General features: G+C 35.6%; 1 protein-coding gene across 7 annotated transcripts in view; it reads right to left on the bottom strand.

Moving 5' to 3' along the window:
* Positions 1–20,947, bottom strand: part of OTOGL (otogelin like) — a 281,344-nt gene that overhangs the window by 106,268 nt on the left and 154,129 nt on the right. For all 7 annotated transcript variants that reach the window (NM_001368062.3, NM_001378610.3, NM_001378609.3 and 4 more), the window contains 10 exons: positions 20,043–20,089; positions 19,428–19,573; positions 18,153–18,276; positions 16,611–16,788; positions 12,520–12,644; positions 9,403–9,612; positions 7,997–8,162; positions 7,286–7,360; positions 4,459–4,511; positions 2,803–2,965 (listed from right to left, as the gene is read on the bottom strand). In NM_001368062.3, the coding sequence (NP_001354991.2) occupies positions 2,803–2,965; positions 4,459–4,511; positions 7,286–7,360; positions 7,997–8,162; positions 9,403–9,612; positions 12,520–12,644; positions 16,611–16,788; positions 18,153–18,276; positions 19,428–19,573; positions 20,043–20,089 (1,287 nt within the window). The remainder of the gene's footprint in view (positions 1–2,802; positions 2,966–4,458; positions 4,512–7,285; positions 7,361–7,996; positions 8,163–9,402; positions 9,613–12,519; positions 12,645–16,610; positions 16,789–18,152; positions 18,277–19,427; positions 19,574–20,042; positions 20,090–20,947) is intronic.

Genomic DNA, 20,947 nt, shown 5'->3' with positions numbered 1-20,947 from the left:
ATTGTTTAGTGTAGCCACCTTCATCAATTATCTTAGTTGCATTTTCTGGATAACTTGCTGCAGCTTCTCCATCAGCACTTGCACTTTTATGTTATGGAGATAGTTTCTTTTCTTAAACTCCATAAGCCAACCTCTGCTGGCTTCAAACTTTTCTTCTGCAGCTTTGTCACCTCCCTCAGCCATTATAGAATTGAAAAGAGTTAAAGCCTTGCTATGGATTAAGCCTTTGCAGAAGTGAATGTTGCAGCTGATTTGATCTATCCAGACTACTAAAACTTTCTCCATAACAGCTAGCTGCTTTGCTTTCTTACCACTTGTGGGTTCACTGGAGTAGTAGCACTTTTCATTTCTTTCATGAACTTTTCCTTTGCATTCACAATTTGGCTAACTGTTGCAAAAGGACTAGCTTGTAGCCCATCTCAGCTTTCAATATGCCTTCCTCACTAAATCTAATCATTTCTAGCTTTTGATTTAAGGTGACAGATGTGTGACTCTTCCTTTCCCTTGAACTTTTGGTGACTATTGTAGAGTTATTAATTGGCCTAATTTCAGTATTGTGTCTCAGGGAATAGAGAGACCTGAGAAGAGCAAGAGAGATGGTGGAATGGCCTATACATGGAGAAATCGGAACACACACAACATTCATCAATTAATTTTTCCATCTTATATGGGCACCATTTGTGGAACCCTGAAATAATTACATAATAATCAAAGTTCACTGTTTACAGATTACCATAACAGATATAATGATAATGAAAAAGTTCTGAAATATTGCAAAAATTACCAAAATGCAACACAGAGACACCAAGTAAGCACATGCTGTTGGAAAATGGCACCAACAGACTTGCTTGATGCAGGGTTGCCACACACCTTCAATTTGTAAAAAATGCAACACCTGTGAAGTGCAATAAAGCAAAACACACAATGAAACAAAGTATGCTTGTATCTGCTTTAAGCAAGTTTGGGCAGTGGGATAAGAAATAAACATTTGCTGAGCTCTTACTATATAACTGGTGTGCAGCATATACTCAATCATCCAAGAAGTAAATATAGTGTTATATCCATTATTAAAAGAGAAACTTGAGATTTCAAGTGGTTAAGTAACTTGCCATGAGGTACTTCGGCTTATAAGGAGGGCCAGCATAGAAGCCATTTCCATCTGACTTTTCCTCTATACTATTCTCCATTTCTTCAATCCACAGTGATTTCTCAATTAGGGTTATGTGGTCCTTTTACAGTCAATAAACTGCTGGCACTGTTAGGAGCCACATGAAACAAGTCACACTGGACTATTTTGCCAAAATGAGCCAGACAAGGTCACATAGAAGACAGGGCAAATCACATTACCATAAACAATATTGTAGGAGAAGGCTATCTTAATAAAATATTTCCAAATCTGTCAGAGGCCTCTAAGTCAATTCCACCCACATTTATTTCAATACAGTCAGAGAAGGTAGGAGGAAATCTCCTTAACGTTTTGTAATGAGATTTAGCCAGTAAATAAATCACTGTCCAACTAAATATCAAAGGTGACAGTAAATATATTTTAAAAGATAATAGCTCAAGCACAGCATATAAAACAAAATTAGGATATGGCTTTAATTAGCCATGCATTCCTAAGAGTCACAATCAAATCAAATAAATCAAGCAATGTTGTGGGTTTTAATTATTCTATTTCCCTTCTCCTTTTTACTAAAATGTCTTTCTTGCTTATCTGCTCTATGGCCTTATTTCTACCTGTCTTTATTTTCCCAGCCACAGGCACTTGTTCTTTTGTGACCTTCTTGTCTCTGCCTCCTATGTCCTTTCTTTCTAAAGAGATTAATGCCAGTTCCAAGTTACTTGGCTCTTCAACCTATTCCAGATGGGGGCCATTTAGACAAATGCGATTCTCCTGGGAAACAAACCACAAGACCTCGCTCTTCTTTGCCCCTGGTTTATATGAGCTGATCCCAGGAATCCCTTTGTGTGAACATGTTCATTGAGGAAGAATGGGTGACCTGTTTGCCTTAGATGGCACTCCCTCTGCACAGCCTCTATTTCATTACCAGAAGAGGGAGGGCCAGGGAGGCCAGATTATATGTGTGCCTGTGAGGAAGCCAATAGCCACAAGATTCTGTGTTTGTCTTTCACGTGCACTAGGCATTTCTGCAATGGAAGAATATTTATGAAGATAGGAGTAGAATATATGCTGCCACAAAATAGTGGCTCATATTTTTAAATACACACACACACACACACACACACACACACACACACACACACACACATCACAATGCCTAATTGAGGCTTAAAAAGAACTTGCAGAAAAATCACTCCACTAACAGTGTCAGGGCTGGGATTTGAGCAGTGGTGTGTCTGATGCCAGAGCTCCCACTCTTACCCACTGCCCTTTGTAGCCTCAATACACTATTTTCTTTAAGATAAAACAGTTGGCATCACTATTACAACTTCACATCAATACCAGTAACTGCACAACAGAATATTTAAAAATGCACTTGAAGAGTGTTTTGAATGAAGAGTGATTAATTGTGTCACTTTCTCAAAATTGCAGTTTCATCAGGGGAGAAATTCCAGCTTCATCCAGAAATGAGTTTTCTCCTCAATTCAGTGTATTACATTAATAATATTTCACAATGTCACATGAGCCAAGCAAAACAATCACAATAGTCTTCTAGCTACCAACCCAGTTAACCACTAGTCAGAACAACAATTCTGGCTATTTCTATAAAGAATGTTTTCAGGAGATATTGTGCTTTCAGGCAAATCCTGAATGTTCTGTATTATGAAGAAGAGGCTTACCCTGGAGCACAAACACAGCCACTTATACAGGGTGAGGATGGGGTGCAGGTGAAGTTCATGGCTAGGTTTGCACATGTAGTCTCACAATTAACACCACCAGCTGGTAATTCAGGGTCAGGAAACCTGCAGTCGAAATACTCTTTTCCCTCTGGGCAGATGTGAACTTCAGATATAAGCACAGACAAAATGTCCTTAACTTTTTGTCATGGCATGGGAGATATGAACACCAAAATTCATAAAATAGGTTTATTCTAAACCTATTTTGAGTTTGAGAATGTTAGCTGCCTTCCATAAGACAGTAACTAACTAGAATATAATTTTCTGAAGTCAAAAAACAAGATATTTTTATTAATTCATACATATATTATCAATTTTTCAGCATATGTTATCAATTTTTAAGCATAATGTAAAAGCATTGTGGCTTTTACAAAGCTACAATGAACACACGATTATTCTAAATCTTGCTTCACCTCAAGTCATTGTTTATATCAGTTCTCACTATACCACAGAAGTGCAGAAGTAGACATAACTATAGTCAGGACAGGGGCTCCATATTCTTCCAGAAAGCTTTTGGGCTCTTAGAGATCAAATAAATTGCCTCAAGTGGGGCCAAAGGGATAAAATCCCGTGGGTTCCTCTGTGAGAAGGCTAGCCACCTGGGCTTCCCTTCATTGAATCAAATGGGGGCGAGTCACCCTGAAAGAAATGGGGCAGAGTCAGGATGGCCCTGTAGCTACCGAATGTGTGTGGTCCATAAACATGTCTTGTAAAGAAGCCCTAGGCTTGTCTGAATCCTTGTAAAGTAAATTCAGGGCATGTAATTCAAAGCTCTTTAATAATAATATATACCAGGCCATTCAAATACATAACAAAGCAATAATAGCTTACAATTACTTTTATTAGCCTACACTCTTCCTGCCCATTAAAATCTATGAAAGCAAGTATTGTTTATTATGTGCCTAGAATTTGCCCATAGTAACTGAGAATTTGAGGCTCTTTATATGATGAAAATAAATAATATATATGGTCCTAATACATAAGATCTTAGGAAAGGTATTTAAAATGACATTCTGAAGGGATAACAGTGGATGTCATTTTACATGCATTGTTAAATTTATTGCTACTAGTCCCAGAGCCATGCTACTCATAATGCAGCCCAGGAACCAGAAGTATTAATGTTATCTTGGTCACTGATAGAAATGTAGAATTTCAGGTATCACCCCTGACCTAATGAATCAGAATCTGCATTTTAACAAGATCCCCATATGTGCACACTAAAATCTGAGAAGTGAAGGTCTAAAATAGATTTTCCCAATTTCTGTCCCACAAATGGGTTACAACACTTGCCTAGATACATATCCCTAAAGTCCTTGGGATGCCTGAGGTGGTCCTGTGGTAGGCAGCATCTAGGCAGCATCCCTGGGTTGACCTGCTCCGCCCCTGAGCTGACTTATATGTTCAACCCAGACTGTCCTAAAAATATTATAATTTTCAATGTGGAAAAAGTTAAGAAGCACTGGAACACCATGTTGAAGAACATTCCCAAGGCTATAGCCATGCACATTGGGAAGAAGAGGTGATTGATGACTTCTGCCAGGAGTGGAGGTGGTATCAGAGCTGAACCCTCATTCAGGAAAACATCTTTTAAGATCTTACCAGCAGAGGGCGTTGCTAATTCATCACATTTCACAGTCCCATTTGAACACTGGCTAGAAGTAAATAAATAGTTAATTTATGGAACCAAATCTGTTGTTTTTTTTTTTTTCCCTGAATTTCGACAACAATCTAACGTACAAGAATTGATTGAGTACATTATACAAATGTTATTTTTCCCACAGAAGTTTTTACAAGCTGTTGGGTTAGGTCCAATTTCAGGAACGCTATTTCAACACAACACTTTTTATCAAACACCTATAAGTGTGGAGCATTGGGATAGGCATGGGAGACATGAACATCAAAATTCATAGTTCTTACCATAATTTGTCTCACAGAAGGGGAAGACACACAAATAAATAATGTATGCAGTGTGACACATGCAACATAGAAATATGTTAAGAGATAGAAGTAAAACAAAGAAAAAATGTTTTTAAAATCTGTTGGCAACCAACATCAGGGAATCAAAGGAAGTAAAGTCTGAACAGTTTTGAAGAGTGGATGGAGGTTATGGCACACCTAAGGTAGGAAGGCTATAACACTCAGTGGAAACACATAAACCATGAAGAAGTAAAGCAGCATTCTACATAGCAAAGTGCAATGCAGGAAGGGACAGGCTGTGAGAATGCCAAAAGAGGCAGAGGCTAGCTCCTAGAAGATGCTAAGATTTTACCCCTGAGGTGAGCCATTGAAGACCTAAGCAGAAAAGTGATATGGTTGCTTTGAATCATTTTGGCAGCAGCATTGAAGATAGGGTGGAGTCACAGCTTCCTTGCAACTTACATTCTAAAGTCAGAGTATAAGGCAAGAGCCACATATAGGAAAAATTAGCCTTGAAAATCCCTGAAGAAGATAACATGATGGAAAACAACACATTAGTTCTCAATAACTCCAATACAGTTTTTCTTTCAGCTTTGGACCAGATCATATGTTCTATATTTAAGCCCAGATGAAGAAGCTGAATCACATATACAGTCCACATCACATAAAAAATATGCAATGCATAGTTGAACACTAGAATAACACTCAGAGGTGTGATTCACCACTGAGTGAGTCACTTCTGATTGAATTTGCTCACACTTTGAATAGCACAGAGGAACTGAGACAGACAGGTCTCAGATCACATATCCAGGTCTTCCATATCATACTTATTCTGGGACAAAGGCTTTTAAAAAGGAATGGCTAACAAAGTCACTATATTAAGTGAATTTTGATTTTTTTTCATTGAGGAGGGATGGTTACTTTTTTTTTTTTTTGCTAAGTTTACATACATTAATCATGTTAAATCCAAAAAGACAGGACACCTCGGCAGAATGAAAGAGGGGAAAAACTAGAGGCAAGAACACCAGAGAGGAAGGTCCAGGGAAGAGAAAATGAGACACACTGATTGCTAAAGCAGTGATGATGGAAAGGAAGAAATGGCTTTTGACTACGCGTAGAAAGTAAAATCAAGTAAAATCCAAAGTTGCTGGGTATTTACTGATTAGGTGTTTTGAGCAAGAGGAAAGAGTCGAAAATGATTCCTGGAGCTCTGGCTTGGGAAACTGTGTGAATAATAGTACTGCGTACCACAGAAAGATCCAAGAGCTAGTTGCCACTGTGTCTTGATGTGGATAGGAAAAAAGGTGGAGATAAAGACAAAGGTAAATTGAGCATAATCAATATTCTGCTGTGAATACAAAAATCAGCTGCAGAGCAAAGTAGGCAGGAGACAAGCACTGCCGAGCCAGGTTGCCTGGGACTAACTCCCAGCTTTAGTATCAGGTTCCTTAGCCACCTGTATCCCATTTTCCTCACCTGTAAATCAGGATAAAACAACATTGCCTATCTCTTAGGGTTATGGTGATGAGTAAGTATTTTAATAATAGATATTAAACACTTAGAATGGTGCCAGCACAAAACAAGGTACACAGTAATGGTTAGAAATGATTATTATTGTTATTATCTACTGTCTATTATTATCTGTTGGTACCTATGGGGCAACTAAAAAGGGGAGGTTAGGAATTATATGTAAGTATGGACTGCTGCATGGACGTGCCTAGATTTTCAACAGAAAATTTATAACCAGAATGAGTGTTATCCTATGATTAAGTGTTATCTTTCTAGTATTGATGGGCCTGGGGAGGAGGCACACTTACTACTGTGCAGGACATTTTTCAAATCTATTTTGAAATTGCTTTTTTTTTTGAGCCTATTCAGTAATACTGTTGTATTTAAACACGTACTTCACCCCTAACTTCTATCTAATAACAAAAAATGATCAAAGGACTTTCATTTCACTGTGAGGTACTTAAATTCATAACTCCTTTCTGCAGTTATGAGTACAAAACTTGGTTATTTCACTTTGAAATGTCATATATGCATGTATTATGTATATATGTGTTTGTACATATATATACAATCACATGATTATAATATATTTAAAGATTACATTGTTATCTTTATTTTTTAATTACAGAAGTCATATTTCAACTTACAGTTTGGGTTAAAAAAACCAAACACTGCATGTTCTCACTCATAAGTGGGAATTGAACAATGAGAACACTTGGACACAGGAAGGGGAACATCATACACCGGGGCCTGTTGTGGGGTGGGGGGAGGGGGGAGGGATAGCATTAGGAGATATACTCAATGTAATGTAAATGACGAGTTAATGGGTGCAGCACACCAACATGGCACACATGTATACATACGTAACAAACCTGCACGTTGTACACATATACCCTAGAACTTAAAGTATAATAAAAAAATATATATATATATATAAAAGAAAGAATTATATTAGAACATACATCATTTGTCAAACACAATCCCCATCATTGAAACCTACCATAAGCCCGAGGGTGTGGGGATGAGCTCTCCAGGTTGATAAACACTGCCCCTATAATGACAACGGCAGTGGAATCTATACGAAGAAAAAGTAAAGTAAATAGGATACAATTTTTTTCAAAAACCACTAAAATTCAAGCTGACCTTGTGCTCTCCATTGGTCATTGTAAGGTACACTCTAAGGTCTGCATTATTCTACAAGACTGCATGCAATCCTATTACACAAATGGCAAAAGCTGCTTAGACATGAAGTTTTGCATAGCTCCAAATTTTGTTTTCTAAAATACAACTCACAAACTGTGTTGTTTTAGTCACAAGAAAAATCACTGAATGCAATTCAGAGAAACATAACTGATATATCATTTAACACTATATATAAGACAAAGGGCTTTACTTCGTGTGTAAATTGAGAAATTTGTGAGTGCTGAGATATTAAAGTCCTGCTACTAAAGTTTGCCATGTGACAGTGAAGCACAAACCTTGTTATTGATTTGACTATGGTAAAAGCAAGCAGGAATACACTTCAAGATCAACCATCAGAGATTCCTTAGCTATTTCTGTAACTGTTGATGAACATTTGCAGGGTTTTTTAAAAAAAAAAGTAAAGACAATAAGAAATATTTTTTTCAAAAACTTCCATGAAAGCTCATTTAGCCCGTAAGGAGAAAAAGAGATTAAAACAGGATGCTGCCAACCTGTTTCTACGACTTACATGGGTACACAAAAGTTAAGAGTGTCTTCATAGAATTTGCCTTCCGGACAATTACAGCCTTCAGCACAGTCATCACTGCACTGCTCCGGGGAAGAGAGAGAAATGCAGGAATGGAGGCAGAACGAGGAACAGTGATGGTACAGCATGCCCTTCTGGCACACCACAGCTAAGGACAAAGAAGTATCACTTGAGAAAGATTGCCATGGCACATAGAAACATTTTATGCCTCCTTAGAGGTCTATGATAGAAAATGAAAGCTGGCCTGTTACAAGGCAAGGAATTGGGAGACCCTTAACTTGGATGCTCAAAGAGCAACATCCTCAGTGGAAATGAAGGACTAAAGCAAGGGTTGGAAACCTTTTTCTGCAAAGGGCCAAATGGTAAGTATTTTCAGCTTCGCAAATGGTAAATATTTTCAGCTTTGCAGAACTATATATGTTGAATTGAGTGACAACTACTCAATTCTGCCCTTGTAGTATAGAAGCAGCCATAGACAACACACAGACAAATGGGCATGACTATATTTCAATAAATTTTATTCACAAAAATGCAGGAGACCCAGTGGTTGTAACTTGTCAACCCCCAGACTAGAAGAAACTGGCTCATAGTATAGAAAGGTGATAGAAAAGCTTCTCTAACTGCTGGGTCTGTGATTAAAAAGTTACCTCTAAGAAATTAAAATCCTAGGTTGATATCTTAAACAAATTTGGTATATGAATTTACATTACTTTTATATTTACACTATTTTTGTCTTAGAAAGCCAAAATTGAGCAATTAACGTCAACACCAGCCAATGATACCCCTGGAATAACTGGAAAAATCCAATGAAGGAATGAAGAGGTGGAGAGAGTGGTACCCCCAAAACCTAAGTCACAAAAGATTCTAATGGGTCTGGAGGGGTGCTGGTAAAAATAAGCTGATTAAAAAAAATTATAAAACACACAAGGAAACAATCTACCATGAATGAAAATGGCAGACAACATAAGTGTGAAAATTAGAGCCCCAATAACTTGATAATAATTGCCTGTTGCATAACATCTATTTAAATACAAATCAACTGCGTCACTGTATTACATAATCTGTTCCATACTTTCCAATATTTAGATATGATATTTCCACGATAAGAATTTTTCAAATGTTTTAAATTATTTCTGTTGCGTATTTCAAAACATAGTTACAATAATTTCGTTTATTACAAAACTAGTCAAAAGTTATTGGTCTTATCCAACATATCTCCAATCTTAAGATATTATTTCATTTGCTTTTCATGTTTGTACATTATGAGAATATTTCAAATAACTTACATGCAATATTGACATTTCATTTAAAAAATAAAAGCAGTCATTACAAACATAGAGGTCTCTAAGGTATTATCTGATAGTCTTTATCTGTGCCATTGTACTCACCACAGAAAGAAATCTGAGTTCTGAAATCAATGGGAACACCGTGCTGGCCGCAGAGGTAGGCATAGTGGGCAAGAGCATTGCACAGGCAGGAGCTTCCACACTTGCATGCATCGTGGCGGCATAGCTGATAGTACAGCCCAGGGCTAATATAGATGTGGCAAGGAGCAAAGAGCTCCTGGTGGATGACATCACAGTGTGCTGCATACCCAACTAACAAAGAGCCCAATTAGCATCTTATTTAACAGTTCAGATCTTACCCCAGAATTATCCAAGCATTTCACGTTCTTAGAAATACACTGTAGTGCATATTACTTTTAATACAAGAGTGAACAATTTCAGCTTATACAGTTTTTGTTTTTTTTATATAATATTGGTAACAGCACTTAATCCACATTCAACAGACTTTTAGGAAAAAAAATAGTGTATTGTACCTGAATAACATGAGTAATAGAAGGGTTGAGAGAAGCAGTGGCCTCAACCATCCCATTGCATGAGGATCATCTTAGGAAACCTACTATAAAGAATTGGAGAGTATTGGGAGGCTTATTTCCAGACATCCACATATAACAAAGTGGTTCCAGATTGTGGATATTATGGCAACCCTGTGTAATACACAATTGTCTAGGAAGAATTGGGAATGATCTCATTTCAATGGAGTCTCTGAAATGAATGGTAATGTGTCAGATGCCACATAGTTGTTGAACTCAATGTCTGCACAATGCACAGTGTACAATGTCTGGCAGATATTAGGAGCTCAATAATGTTTGATAAATAAATCTATAAATGCATGAATAAGTGAATAATGAGTAGAAATTGGGGATTAGGGTATATGCTGAAGGCCATGAGATGTAACTATAAAATCACCTGGGGAGGGGAGGACATCTGTGTAATCATTTCCTGAAATCTGTTGATTTTTCCCTTGAGAATGACTGATCAGATATAATTCTTTATAGAAGTAACCAAGTTTGACAAAACAATTCAGATTCCATCTTTCTGAAAGAGGGTAGGTTTGTGGTTTCTTGATATCGTGGACCTAGTTTTCCTTGGTTTCCTAACAGATAAAATTAATCAATCTTTTCATTGTCATTGTCTTTTACAGACCAGATAAGCTGTTGGAGATCAGTTTTTTCACTACTAAGGAATTATACTGAACTTATTTTGTTGAGTATATTACATATATTTATTATTGGTAAGAAAACATGATAATTGCTCAAGTATGATATTTTTGCATTCAGAATGTATATGTATATAAAAACAAATGACTTAAACTATAGCAGTATACTGTTTACATATATATTCTTAATGCCAAGGATCCTGAAAGAGCAAAGTAATACACCAAAGAGGCTAACAATTTGTAGATCAAAGTATATTCCCACTGACATTAAGTTAAGGATAACTAAAGAAGATCCTCATGAAAAAAAATCCTTTAGAATCTAGATCAGAGTTATTGACTTTTGTCTACTTATTTTCCTTTCTTTGAGGATCTTCCTGAATTTACCTATTTGAATTTTTTTAAAAAAAAATCACAGTTCATGGCAAAGCTAAAAAAAAGTTAATATCAAATATATGTATGCATGTACATAGCATGTGTGTGGTTTAGGGTCCATGTGGGGAAATTAATGTGGGTAGTTCACAGGCTTATTTTCAAAGACAAGGCAAATATCTCAAAATATAAATAGTTTATATATCCAGTTTAATATTTCAATTTCGTGTATGTATATATTTAAAAGACATGGGATATGGGAAGAAAAGTGATAGAAAATAGAGCAAAATAGCATATAATAAAGGAGGTAACTAAAGAAATGACCACAGGGAAACTGAATTTATCAATTGAACTCTACTTCAACTTTAACATGTTATTAAAAAATAAAAAGTAAAGTTGCTACAATATCCAGGAGGAAACCAAGAAAGAAACAAACCAAACAAGAGTAGTTGAAGGAGGAGGAGTAGATTAGTTGAAAGTTGGGGACAGAATGGAGGAAGGTATTGTTAAATGGGAGTGAGATTAAAAGTAGTCATTCATGAAACTAAAAAACTCTAGTCTAGCCGTGTTATTATAGATAAGAAAAATGATCAAAGAGGTTAAGAAACGTTTTCAAGTTTAAAAGCTGGCTTAGATTTAAAAAAGACAGAAAGCACAAAGAGCAAAAGTATCTTCTGCTCTTTCCAGCATACCAGAATCCTATGTTAATAATAAAAACAATATGGCAATCAACAGAATCCTCCCAACAACCACCGCATGATCCGTAAACTGTGCTGGCTTCTTATGAAAGCTCAACCAATATGAGTAATGTATTTTTAAAAACTACATCCAAATAGTGAACTAGCCAAGATGATTAAAGGAAAAAATAAACTTATAAGAATATTTAAGCATGTACATTAATTTTTTCACAATTATATATATACATGTGTATGTCTTGTATATATCTTCTATCTGAATATATACATGTGTATCTTCTATCTGAATATATACATGTATATCTTTTTTATTGCAAAGTGAACTGGACTTTAACATGGTTTGCTGGGGCTTTAGTTTTAAAAAATGCAGCCAAAAATTCTTAGCATGTGAGTTGTCCTGTCATTGCAAATTGGAACTCTGGAGCATGACCATCTCAAATTGTTGCCCACTCAATGGCACAAAGCCTCTTTGGATCACTGGCTTCCTGCTTATAAAGCCATAATATATGCTATGAGTAGGGCTCATGAGCAATGAGTAATGAGATGGTAATAACTGACATCGAACATCCCTGGACTATCACAGCATTCTCAGAGGATTCCTAGAGGCTTTTCTTTAGTATTTAAAGACTCTGAAAACTCCCAAATGCTAGTCCACATCTGCAAACAAGGGATTTCTAAACATCTAAAATAAGAAAATTTATGAAATAAAAATAGGAAATAAAAGCCACTGTCAGGTTTTTAAAAAACAACCTAGATTACATGAAAAGACATATGTAAAGGCATAATATTAAGCAAAAAAAAAATACACGAGGAATGGCATTGATTTTACCATAATGGAGAAAATTAGAATTTAAACTATCTAATTTTATAAAATTATAGTAATACATAGAACTTTTCCCTAAGTTTACAGCAGAAAGGAAGTTTACATGCAAAACTTACTGTTTTGTTGATTGATGTTACAGGGGTCCACCACTGGGACATGAACAGGTGCAAAACAGGTAGAAGAAACTCTCCACGCATTTGCGTGAAGTTGTGGTGTACCTTCTATCATGCCTGATGGAGAACTAGAAAGCAAAGACAATGCTCATCTTCATGTATCTCTCATTCATTTGTTCATAACCTTCAGATATTTAAATAAGAGAATACTATTTTTCATAATGTACAAGGAAATCTTACAGCTTGAAATTTTCTACCAGTTTAAAAAAAAGTACAACGATATTAAGCTCCATATTACTGACATTTTGCAATGTGCCAAATTGTAGACATACATGATTTTATTTAATCTTCATCTCAAACTTATAAGAAAAACATCTTTTATCCCCATTTTACAGAGAAAGCAAAGCAGAATCTCCGAGAAATATTAAATTACACTAAGCTGCTAAGTATCAAAGCCACGATTCACAGTTCTCCCTGACTTAACCACATACACTCACACAACCAAAACTTTAGCATGTGTGTGGTTGAGGGTGCATGTGGGGAAGTTAGTATGGGCATTTCACATGATTTTTTTCAAAGTAAAGACAAATATCTCAAAATATAAATAGTCTATATATCCAGTTCAATATTTCAATTTCCATTATGAGATCCGAAATATCAAGATTCCATTATGAAGTGGGCAAACCAAATGAAAAACATCTATCTTAAAACTACAACAGTGTTTAGGAAACAAACACTGCAATTCCACCCCCAGCAGCCATTCAGATGTATTCATTCATCAACCAACATTTATTAAGTGACAACCCCTATTGGACAATGTGCCAGACACTATCAAAACTTCTTAGGAATCAGGTTGAACTAGATCTCCTGCAGGAAGTTTTTGACCACACCACAATCCTGACTGTGTTAACTCCTCCAATATGGCTAAGTAGAAGAGTAGGCATTATCTCAGCTTTCTCTAGTGTCCTTATAGATTAACTATTTTCACTGGAGCTGCTCAGCAGAGTGACCGAGAGAGGACAAAAAAAGGGAGCAACGCAAGCCATTTCCTTGTCCCCACCCTTTCGTCCTTCTCTCCTTTTCCTATTCCTCAAAATCAAACTAGCCCATAACTGTAAAGAACTGCAACAAACACCCTAGTACAAAATCTCATTTTGTTTATTTAAGAACAGTGAGACTCAAAGTAATTGCATGGTTTGTGCTACTTCATTTCTTCTCATTCTTTCCCCTTCCTTCTCTCTTCACTCCTCTGAAGGATAATAAAATAGGTCAGGGTGACAGGTCAAGGTTTCCAGGTGGAACTGACTTAGAGCTTGGCTCTCTTATTTCATTTAGTTTACCTTAAAACAATAAATTTTAAAAATAGAGCTAAAATGTGGACTTATTTATTGTCTTTCATTTTATAAAATAACGTTTCAGCTCACCATAGTCAACTTATTATAATAAGGCATACAAAATATGTTTTCAAGTAATTAATATTTTCTATTCCGCAATGTCTGCATATTCACATTAACCTTTGTGAAGAAAGAGTTTTAACTACTTAAGTTGGAAAGCTAAACACTGTTCACAAGTTATCTCTGACTCTGAAGTATCATCTTGCACTCTTATCACACCTAAATGTTTACACGTGGCGGGGACTGGTGCCTTAGAAAGAGGCAGACAGATCTGCCGACTCTTAAACATTGACTGCTGACCCATTGTGACAAACAAAGAAGAGAAAACAGGATTAATGTCTTTTCTGAACATCATAGCCAAGCCACTTAATGTAATTTCTGCTTCTCAAGTGTGGTGAAGATATCAATATTTTGACCTACAAATAAATAAAACAAAAAACTGAATTACCTAAAAACAAGGTACAGGAAGACAAGGAGACAAGATAGAAGAAATTAAAATTTTTTAAATTTTAAATGCCAGTTCCCCTTGCCCATTCAAACTATCTTCCTGATGCCCCACTAAACATTCTACCTCAGTTCAATTAACTGTCCACTATATGTGAGGTTCTATGCTAGTTCCTAAGAATACAAAGACCAAGGACACAACTCTTAGTCTCAAAGCCCTAACAGATAAACAAGACAAGAAACCAGACAGATAAACAATAAATTTTCATAGATAATGCATTGTCAGATTTAACTTTGAATGCTCAGCTTTTTGAGGCAAATAATGTCTGAATTGGGGTGAACAATAAATGGGAGGTCACAAGAAAGATGAGGAGCAGGAGAGAACCCAAGCAGGAAGGAGGGTATGGGCAAGAATGTTTTTTAAAAAGCACATATATTTTATTACAGCACTATTTACAATAGCAAAGACTTGGAACCAACGCAAATGCCCATCAATGATAGACTGGATAAAGAAAATGTGGTACTATGCAGCCATGAAAAAGAATGAGTTCCTGTCTTTTGCAGGGACGTAGATGAAGCTGGAAACCATCATCCTCAGCAAACTATAACAGGAACGGAAAACCAATCACCGCATGTTCTCACTCATAAGTGGGAGTTGAGCAATGAGTACACATGGACACAGAGAGGGGAGTATCACACACTGGGGCCTGTCTGGGGGTGTGGGGCTAGGGGAGGAAGAGCATTAAGACAAATACCTAATGCATGCGGGGCTTAAAACCTAGATGACGGGTTGATAGGTGCAGCAAACCACCATGGCACATGTATGTCTATGTAACAAACCTGCACATTCAGCATATGTATCCTAGAACTTAATATAAAATAAAAATAATAATAATAAATTAAATAAAATGTTTTAAAAAAGAAATGAAACAGTATTTGGAGAGTAGCTTCTCCATGAAATGTCCCCTGGCTGCCCAGCCCACAGTGAACCCCCTATTGTTCTTCTAGCCATAATCACAAAGCCCAACACTTAATTTTTAGAATCACCTCAGCATTTATATATATAGTTGATTTTTATATATAATAGTTGATTTATTTATATATATATATAGTTGATTGATCCTTGCCTAACACTAAATATTCATTTTTTATTTTTAAAATTAAGGTATAGCTAAAAAAAATTATATACATTTACAGAGTACAACATGATGTTCCGAGGTATACATTGTGAAATGGTTAAATCAAGCTAATGAACATGTGCATCACCTCACATTCTTATTTTTTGCTGTGAGAACTTTTAATATCTACTCTCTTAGCAATTTTCAAGTACACATTAATTATAGTCATTATATAATTAATTGATCTCAAAACATCTCCCAAGCTTATGCACCCTGTCTAGCTGAAACTTTGTACCCTTTGACCAACATCTTCCCACACTCCCACCCCGACCCTTATCCTCTGGCAAACACCATTCTATAATACTTTGCTTCTGTGATTTCAACTATTTTAGATTCCAGATATATTTCTTAAAGGTTGTTATCCTCTCCTGATCTGCAACACAAAGCTCCATGAGGATGAGAACCATGGTCTACTGCTTAAATTGCTCCCATTGTGCTTTTAGCATGATAACAAGTGCACAAAGCATTTACACTAAATTATAAACTGCTTCTTTTCACACGTAGGTGAAAAGTACCTGGTCAATACAAGGGGTACAAATATGTGTTATTGCTTCTTTTCCAATGAAACACCAACAATCACAGTATCTAGCAAGATAATAAAATGTTGCTTTTTAGGTATTAATAATACCAAATGATATCAATATTTATAGAGTATTTACTACCACTAATGCATACTGATATTGAGGGTTTTTTGTTTGTTTATTTGTTTGGTTTTTTTAGGCAGCTATGTTTCAAAAATAAAATACTGTTAAGGTTGGTAGATGGCAGAGAAGAGAATAGCTGGAACAGTGAGCATAGCTGAGCCACACTGTCTAAATCCAAAGCCTAGCTCCACTACATGTGAGCTAAGTGACCTTGAATGATTTATTTGCCACTTTGAGGACTTGATTAGTTTCCTTATCTACAAAATAAACATATTTATCAGAGATTGCTATACATTTTAAATACGATGATCCATGTAAATCTCTTGGGATAATGACAGCTAAGCAATTATTAGTTAAGTAAACATTTTTAATGAATTTATATCCTTTAAATGACCAGTCATTAAGTATGTTAACTATGCAGAAATCATACTTACAGAAAATCATCCCTTATGTTGCCATTAAAAGTGCCACACAGACCTAATGTTCTTCTTTTCCATGCGCTAGTAAGCTGAATATAAATTCTTTCCCCATCTATAGCAAACAGAATCTTTAAACCAAATGTGGTTTTTAGAAGTATAAATAAGGATGACAGAGTTTGAATTTCAACAATACCTGCAGGAAAAGAACATACGTAAATCAGCTTTGACATTCATAGACGGTGTTCTGAAATGCTAGGGTACACCACCAGGACTCTCTTCCCCAGATACCAGGGAAGGAGGAGAGGCAGGCTAGTGGTTCCTGTCTGTGCTTCAGGGCCAAATTTTTGCCACCTATGGCTGCCTTTTTTCCCTCCTATTCCTCTCCTTTTCTCCCTCCTTCCTGGTCTTCAGCAGCCATTTTTAGTAGTTGTTCAGGTCAATACATACTTTCAGTTTGCAAGCATCTCACAAGGAAGGAGGAAGTCCTTAGACATTTGAAATCCATTACCAAGTTCAGACTTTTGTCCTAAATGTTTTTTCAATCTGTCTTCTTCTCTCCATCTCTATCATCACTGCCTTAGATGACCTCCTCCTCATTCCTCACATGCCCTACTTTTATAACATCCTAACTCTTGTCCATATTTCCTGTCTAGCAACTCTCAAAGTCACTTCTACACTGTTGTCATAGTCATGTACCAAAAAAAAAAAAACTTCACCTTAAAACCTCCTTAAAAACTCACCATTTATTTGGTTGAACCGTGAGATTGCCCTCTTTGTACATAAAAATGGTCAAAAATGATAATTTCATATTTGATTCGTATCAAGTTCAACTTCCCTAGCCTGACACCTGTGTAGCGTGAGCATGTGATTTGTAAGATAAATCAAGACATTTTTGAGAGTGAGAGTGTTATTAACAGCTATGCTGGAATGCAGGCATGAACAGGACCTGCCCCAGAAATCCACAATGTAAAATGCCTCCTACATAAGCCCTTCTCATCCTTACCTACATCCAGACATTCTCCTTTACCCTCTCTCTGCTGTAGCAAAACCAATTTAGTTCTGGTTCCCCCTAAATATGCTGCAAAATTCGACACCTCCTTGATCTGCATGAAACACTTTCCCCATCCCCTTCAACCCAGCAATTCCTCATCCTTAAATGCTCAATGAGACAATCATTGTATAATCACCCACCTCTTTCAGAAAACACTCCTGACCATTTCAGTACACCCCTCTCCAGAGCTGAGTGAGCTGCACCTCATTTAGACTCCCCAAAGTCTTTATGTATGTCTTTGAGTCTATCACATTTTATTGTAAGTGGCTGCTTGCTTGTCTCTCTTCCCTTCCAAAGTCTAGATCACTTGAGGTAATCACTAGGTCCCATAAACATAATCATCATCACTATCTGTAGCTGATGGCCTGATGACACATACAAACTCTATAAATGCTAGGTAGTCAGCCTAACATTAGGAAAAGATCCCATTTTGTTTGCGTGTGTTGTTTGTTTGTTTGTTTGTTTGTTTGATGTAAAGAAAGTACACCATTAGCACTGTTTCTTACCATTCAGGTTGAAGCCTTGGTTAGGACTAGTGAGAATTTGTCCTCCCCTACCAAGGGTCACTTGTTTGTTAAAATCATCCTCCAGAATCAGAGTTATAGACTGAAGGCAGACCAAGCCAAGATTCTGCGTAAAAATCAAATTATCAATGCAAGGAATGGGAGAGAGAGAGAGCCATAGAAAGAGACAGGAAGGTGGAGATGGGAGAAAGGGAGAAGGGGAGAAAGAGAGAGGAGAGAACAAAAAAGAAAGAGAGTGCATATAAATTAGAATTTCTAATATATAAAAGCCTTGAGTATAAGTAATGTAATAAAGTAGCTGATATATAACCCATTTTATGTAGCCCCATTCCTAATAAAATATAACTTTATATAGTACATTAAATATATCAGATGTATACATACATTTTACTTAGAACATTAAAGTCTTTCAGTAAAGTACCAATAGTTATGTTTTCCATGGCATATAAAGTACCTCTCTAAATTCATTTAACTGGCGTATTAGACAAAAAAAGTCAATAAAGCAAAGAACCAAGAGAATTAGACTTCTACACAGAAAGTTAATTCAGACTCTAATATATTACATAGAAAAAATAAAACTGGAAAAAAAACAAATAAAGCAGTTCAGAATTTTTGTTGGAAATAATTATTTTCTATTAGAATAGAACTAAAAAATTAAATATTTTGGCAAAATTTTGACTACCTGCTTTAGAGAGATGAATGAAAGACCTAGATTTCTTTATTTAGAAATTATTGATGAGTTTACTATTTCAAGAAAAGATCTAAATAAATATTCCAATATGTTAAGAAATTCATCATATCTGTTTAGAATGCTATGAAACCAGTTCAAAACTGTCAAAAATAGTCTCTTTAAAATAGCTAGGTTGAAGCAAACAAAAAACTTAGATCCATTGTACAATCATGCATAAAATGTTCAAAAAACTATACGTACAAAACTATATGTACAAAAAACTATACGTACTACTTTTTAAAAAAGAAAATGCAATTAAATATATAGTATTTAATCTAAGACATACTTGTTTTCACAGCTTAATATCTCTGAGATCAAGATGCGTCATGTAACCAATGGTATGTCATAGAATAATTATCAACACTTCTTTCTAATATGTAGAATAATGATGTATCTTAATAATCAATGTCATCTTAGTGTTAAGGAAAATAGCTATATCCACTCATGTTATCATTCTTAGTCTGAAATGAAGTTTAAGCAAAAATCAGTGAATCCATATTCCTCTGGTCATTTTGAAATGTTCTTACCTGCTCACAGGGAGCTTTCTGTAAAGTAATCGTGAATTTATCTTTTCCAGTTCCTTTCACGAGGATGTATTGGCACATGCCAATAAAAGAATAATGTCGACCATCAAAAGTTGTAAAGTGAGAATCACCTACAACTGAGCATTGAACTGCCAAAAAAAAAAAGAAAACAAAGAAAAAGAAAAGGAGGTGGAGATAGAGGAGGAGAGAGAGGAGGATGATACCATTAGGTTAATCCTTTAAAAGCAGATCAACTTAGGGTAAATAATCATGCATCAAAACTTTGAAAATCTACTGTGTTGTATTTAAAATTTACTGGTTTGACAAACTTACTAGACTAAATTATATTATCCCATTTAATTTAATGTTTATAAAATGATATTTATTCCACATTTTTTAGGTTTTATAACATTTACACTATTTTAATAAAGTTTTACCAAAGTTGCCCACTCAATGCTATCACTTGTTCAATTTTCCATGTATCCTCTGAGTAATTGCATTTACAGATTATTGTAGCCCTTGGTATATATGAGATGTCTTCATAAAGATCAGTGCTATCTTTCTCCCCAGTCTAAAGAAATTTGAAACATTCTCTATAAAAACATTTTAAAAAATTACCTGGACAGTCTTGCTCAGTGCAGTTCCAAACTCCACCAACACACACACTAAAAGAAATTATAAAAATATTAATCTATTGGCATAGAGAAACTGTATTAATGTTTGCATCAATGTATTGATTAATGGACCAAAATATATCATGTTTATAGGTTCAGAATAATCTGACTTAAAAAAATCTCTGCAAAAAATAAAATAAAATAAATAAAATCAATAAATAATAATAAAAAAATCATCTCTGCATAAGTTCAATTGACTGGTAATTTTGAGCTGGCTGGCACCTAAATTATTATCTCTTGTGTGTCATATGTAAAAATCACTGACTATGATGAAGATCAACAGGTATTAAAAAGAGAGAAGAGATCTCCTCTTATGTCAGATAAATTCTACCTTCCACCCTGACAAAGGTGTGAGTTTTAGAGGACAAAAGCAGAGTACCTGTAAAACGGAAACAGAATCAGCATCTGAGAATGTGGTTAGTTATCCTATTACATTTCAATTATATACACAGACACCAAAGGGAAAAGTATCCGACAACATTTAGACCTCTGTTTCTTTTTAGGACTGTCCTGCAGGGATTTCATATTTGACAACAGTGTTAGTTAGCAAATTTAATATGGAATTCTAAATGTTTCTAATCATGGACCAAAAATTGGTGATCTGGAGAGGCATGTTTTATAGTATGTAACAGAGAAGCCCAGAAGCACCATCAAGTTCTAACAGTATGTGCAAATTAGTGATTACAAACGATAAGAAAATGCAACAGACTCATTATGTGGATATAAGATGTTATAGAATTACCAAGGTAAGTGATAAGAATTACATCATAAAAGGAAATACAGATGTCCCTTCCCCCAAGGAGTTTAAATAAAATGCAAGTTTTGTGTTGGAATTTGGGAAGTAAATTA

Source organism: Homo sapiens, chromosome 12 (assembly GCF_000001405.40).
Source record: "Homo sapiens chromosome 12, GRCh38.p14 Primary Assembly".
In the NCBI taxonomy this organism is placed as follows: domain Eukaryota; kingdom Metazoa; phylum Chordata; class Mammalia; order Primates; family Hominidae; genus Homo; species Homo sapiens.
This window is presented reverse-complemented; position numbering and strand designations above follow the sequence as displayed.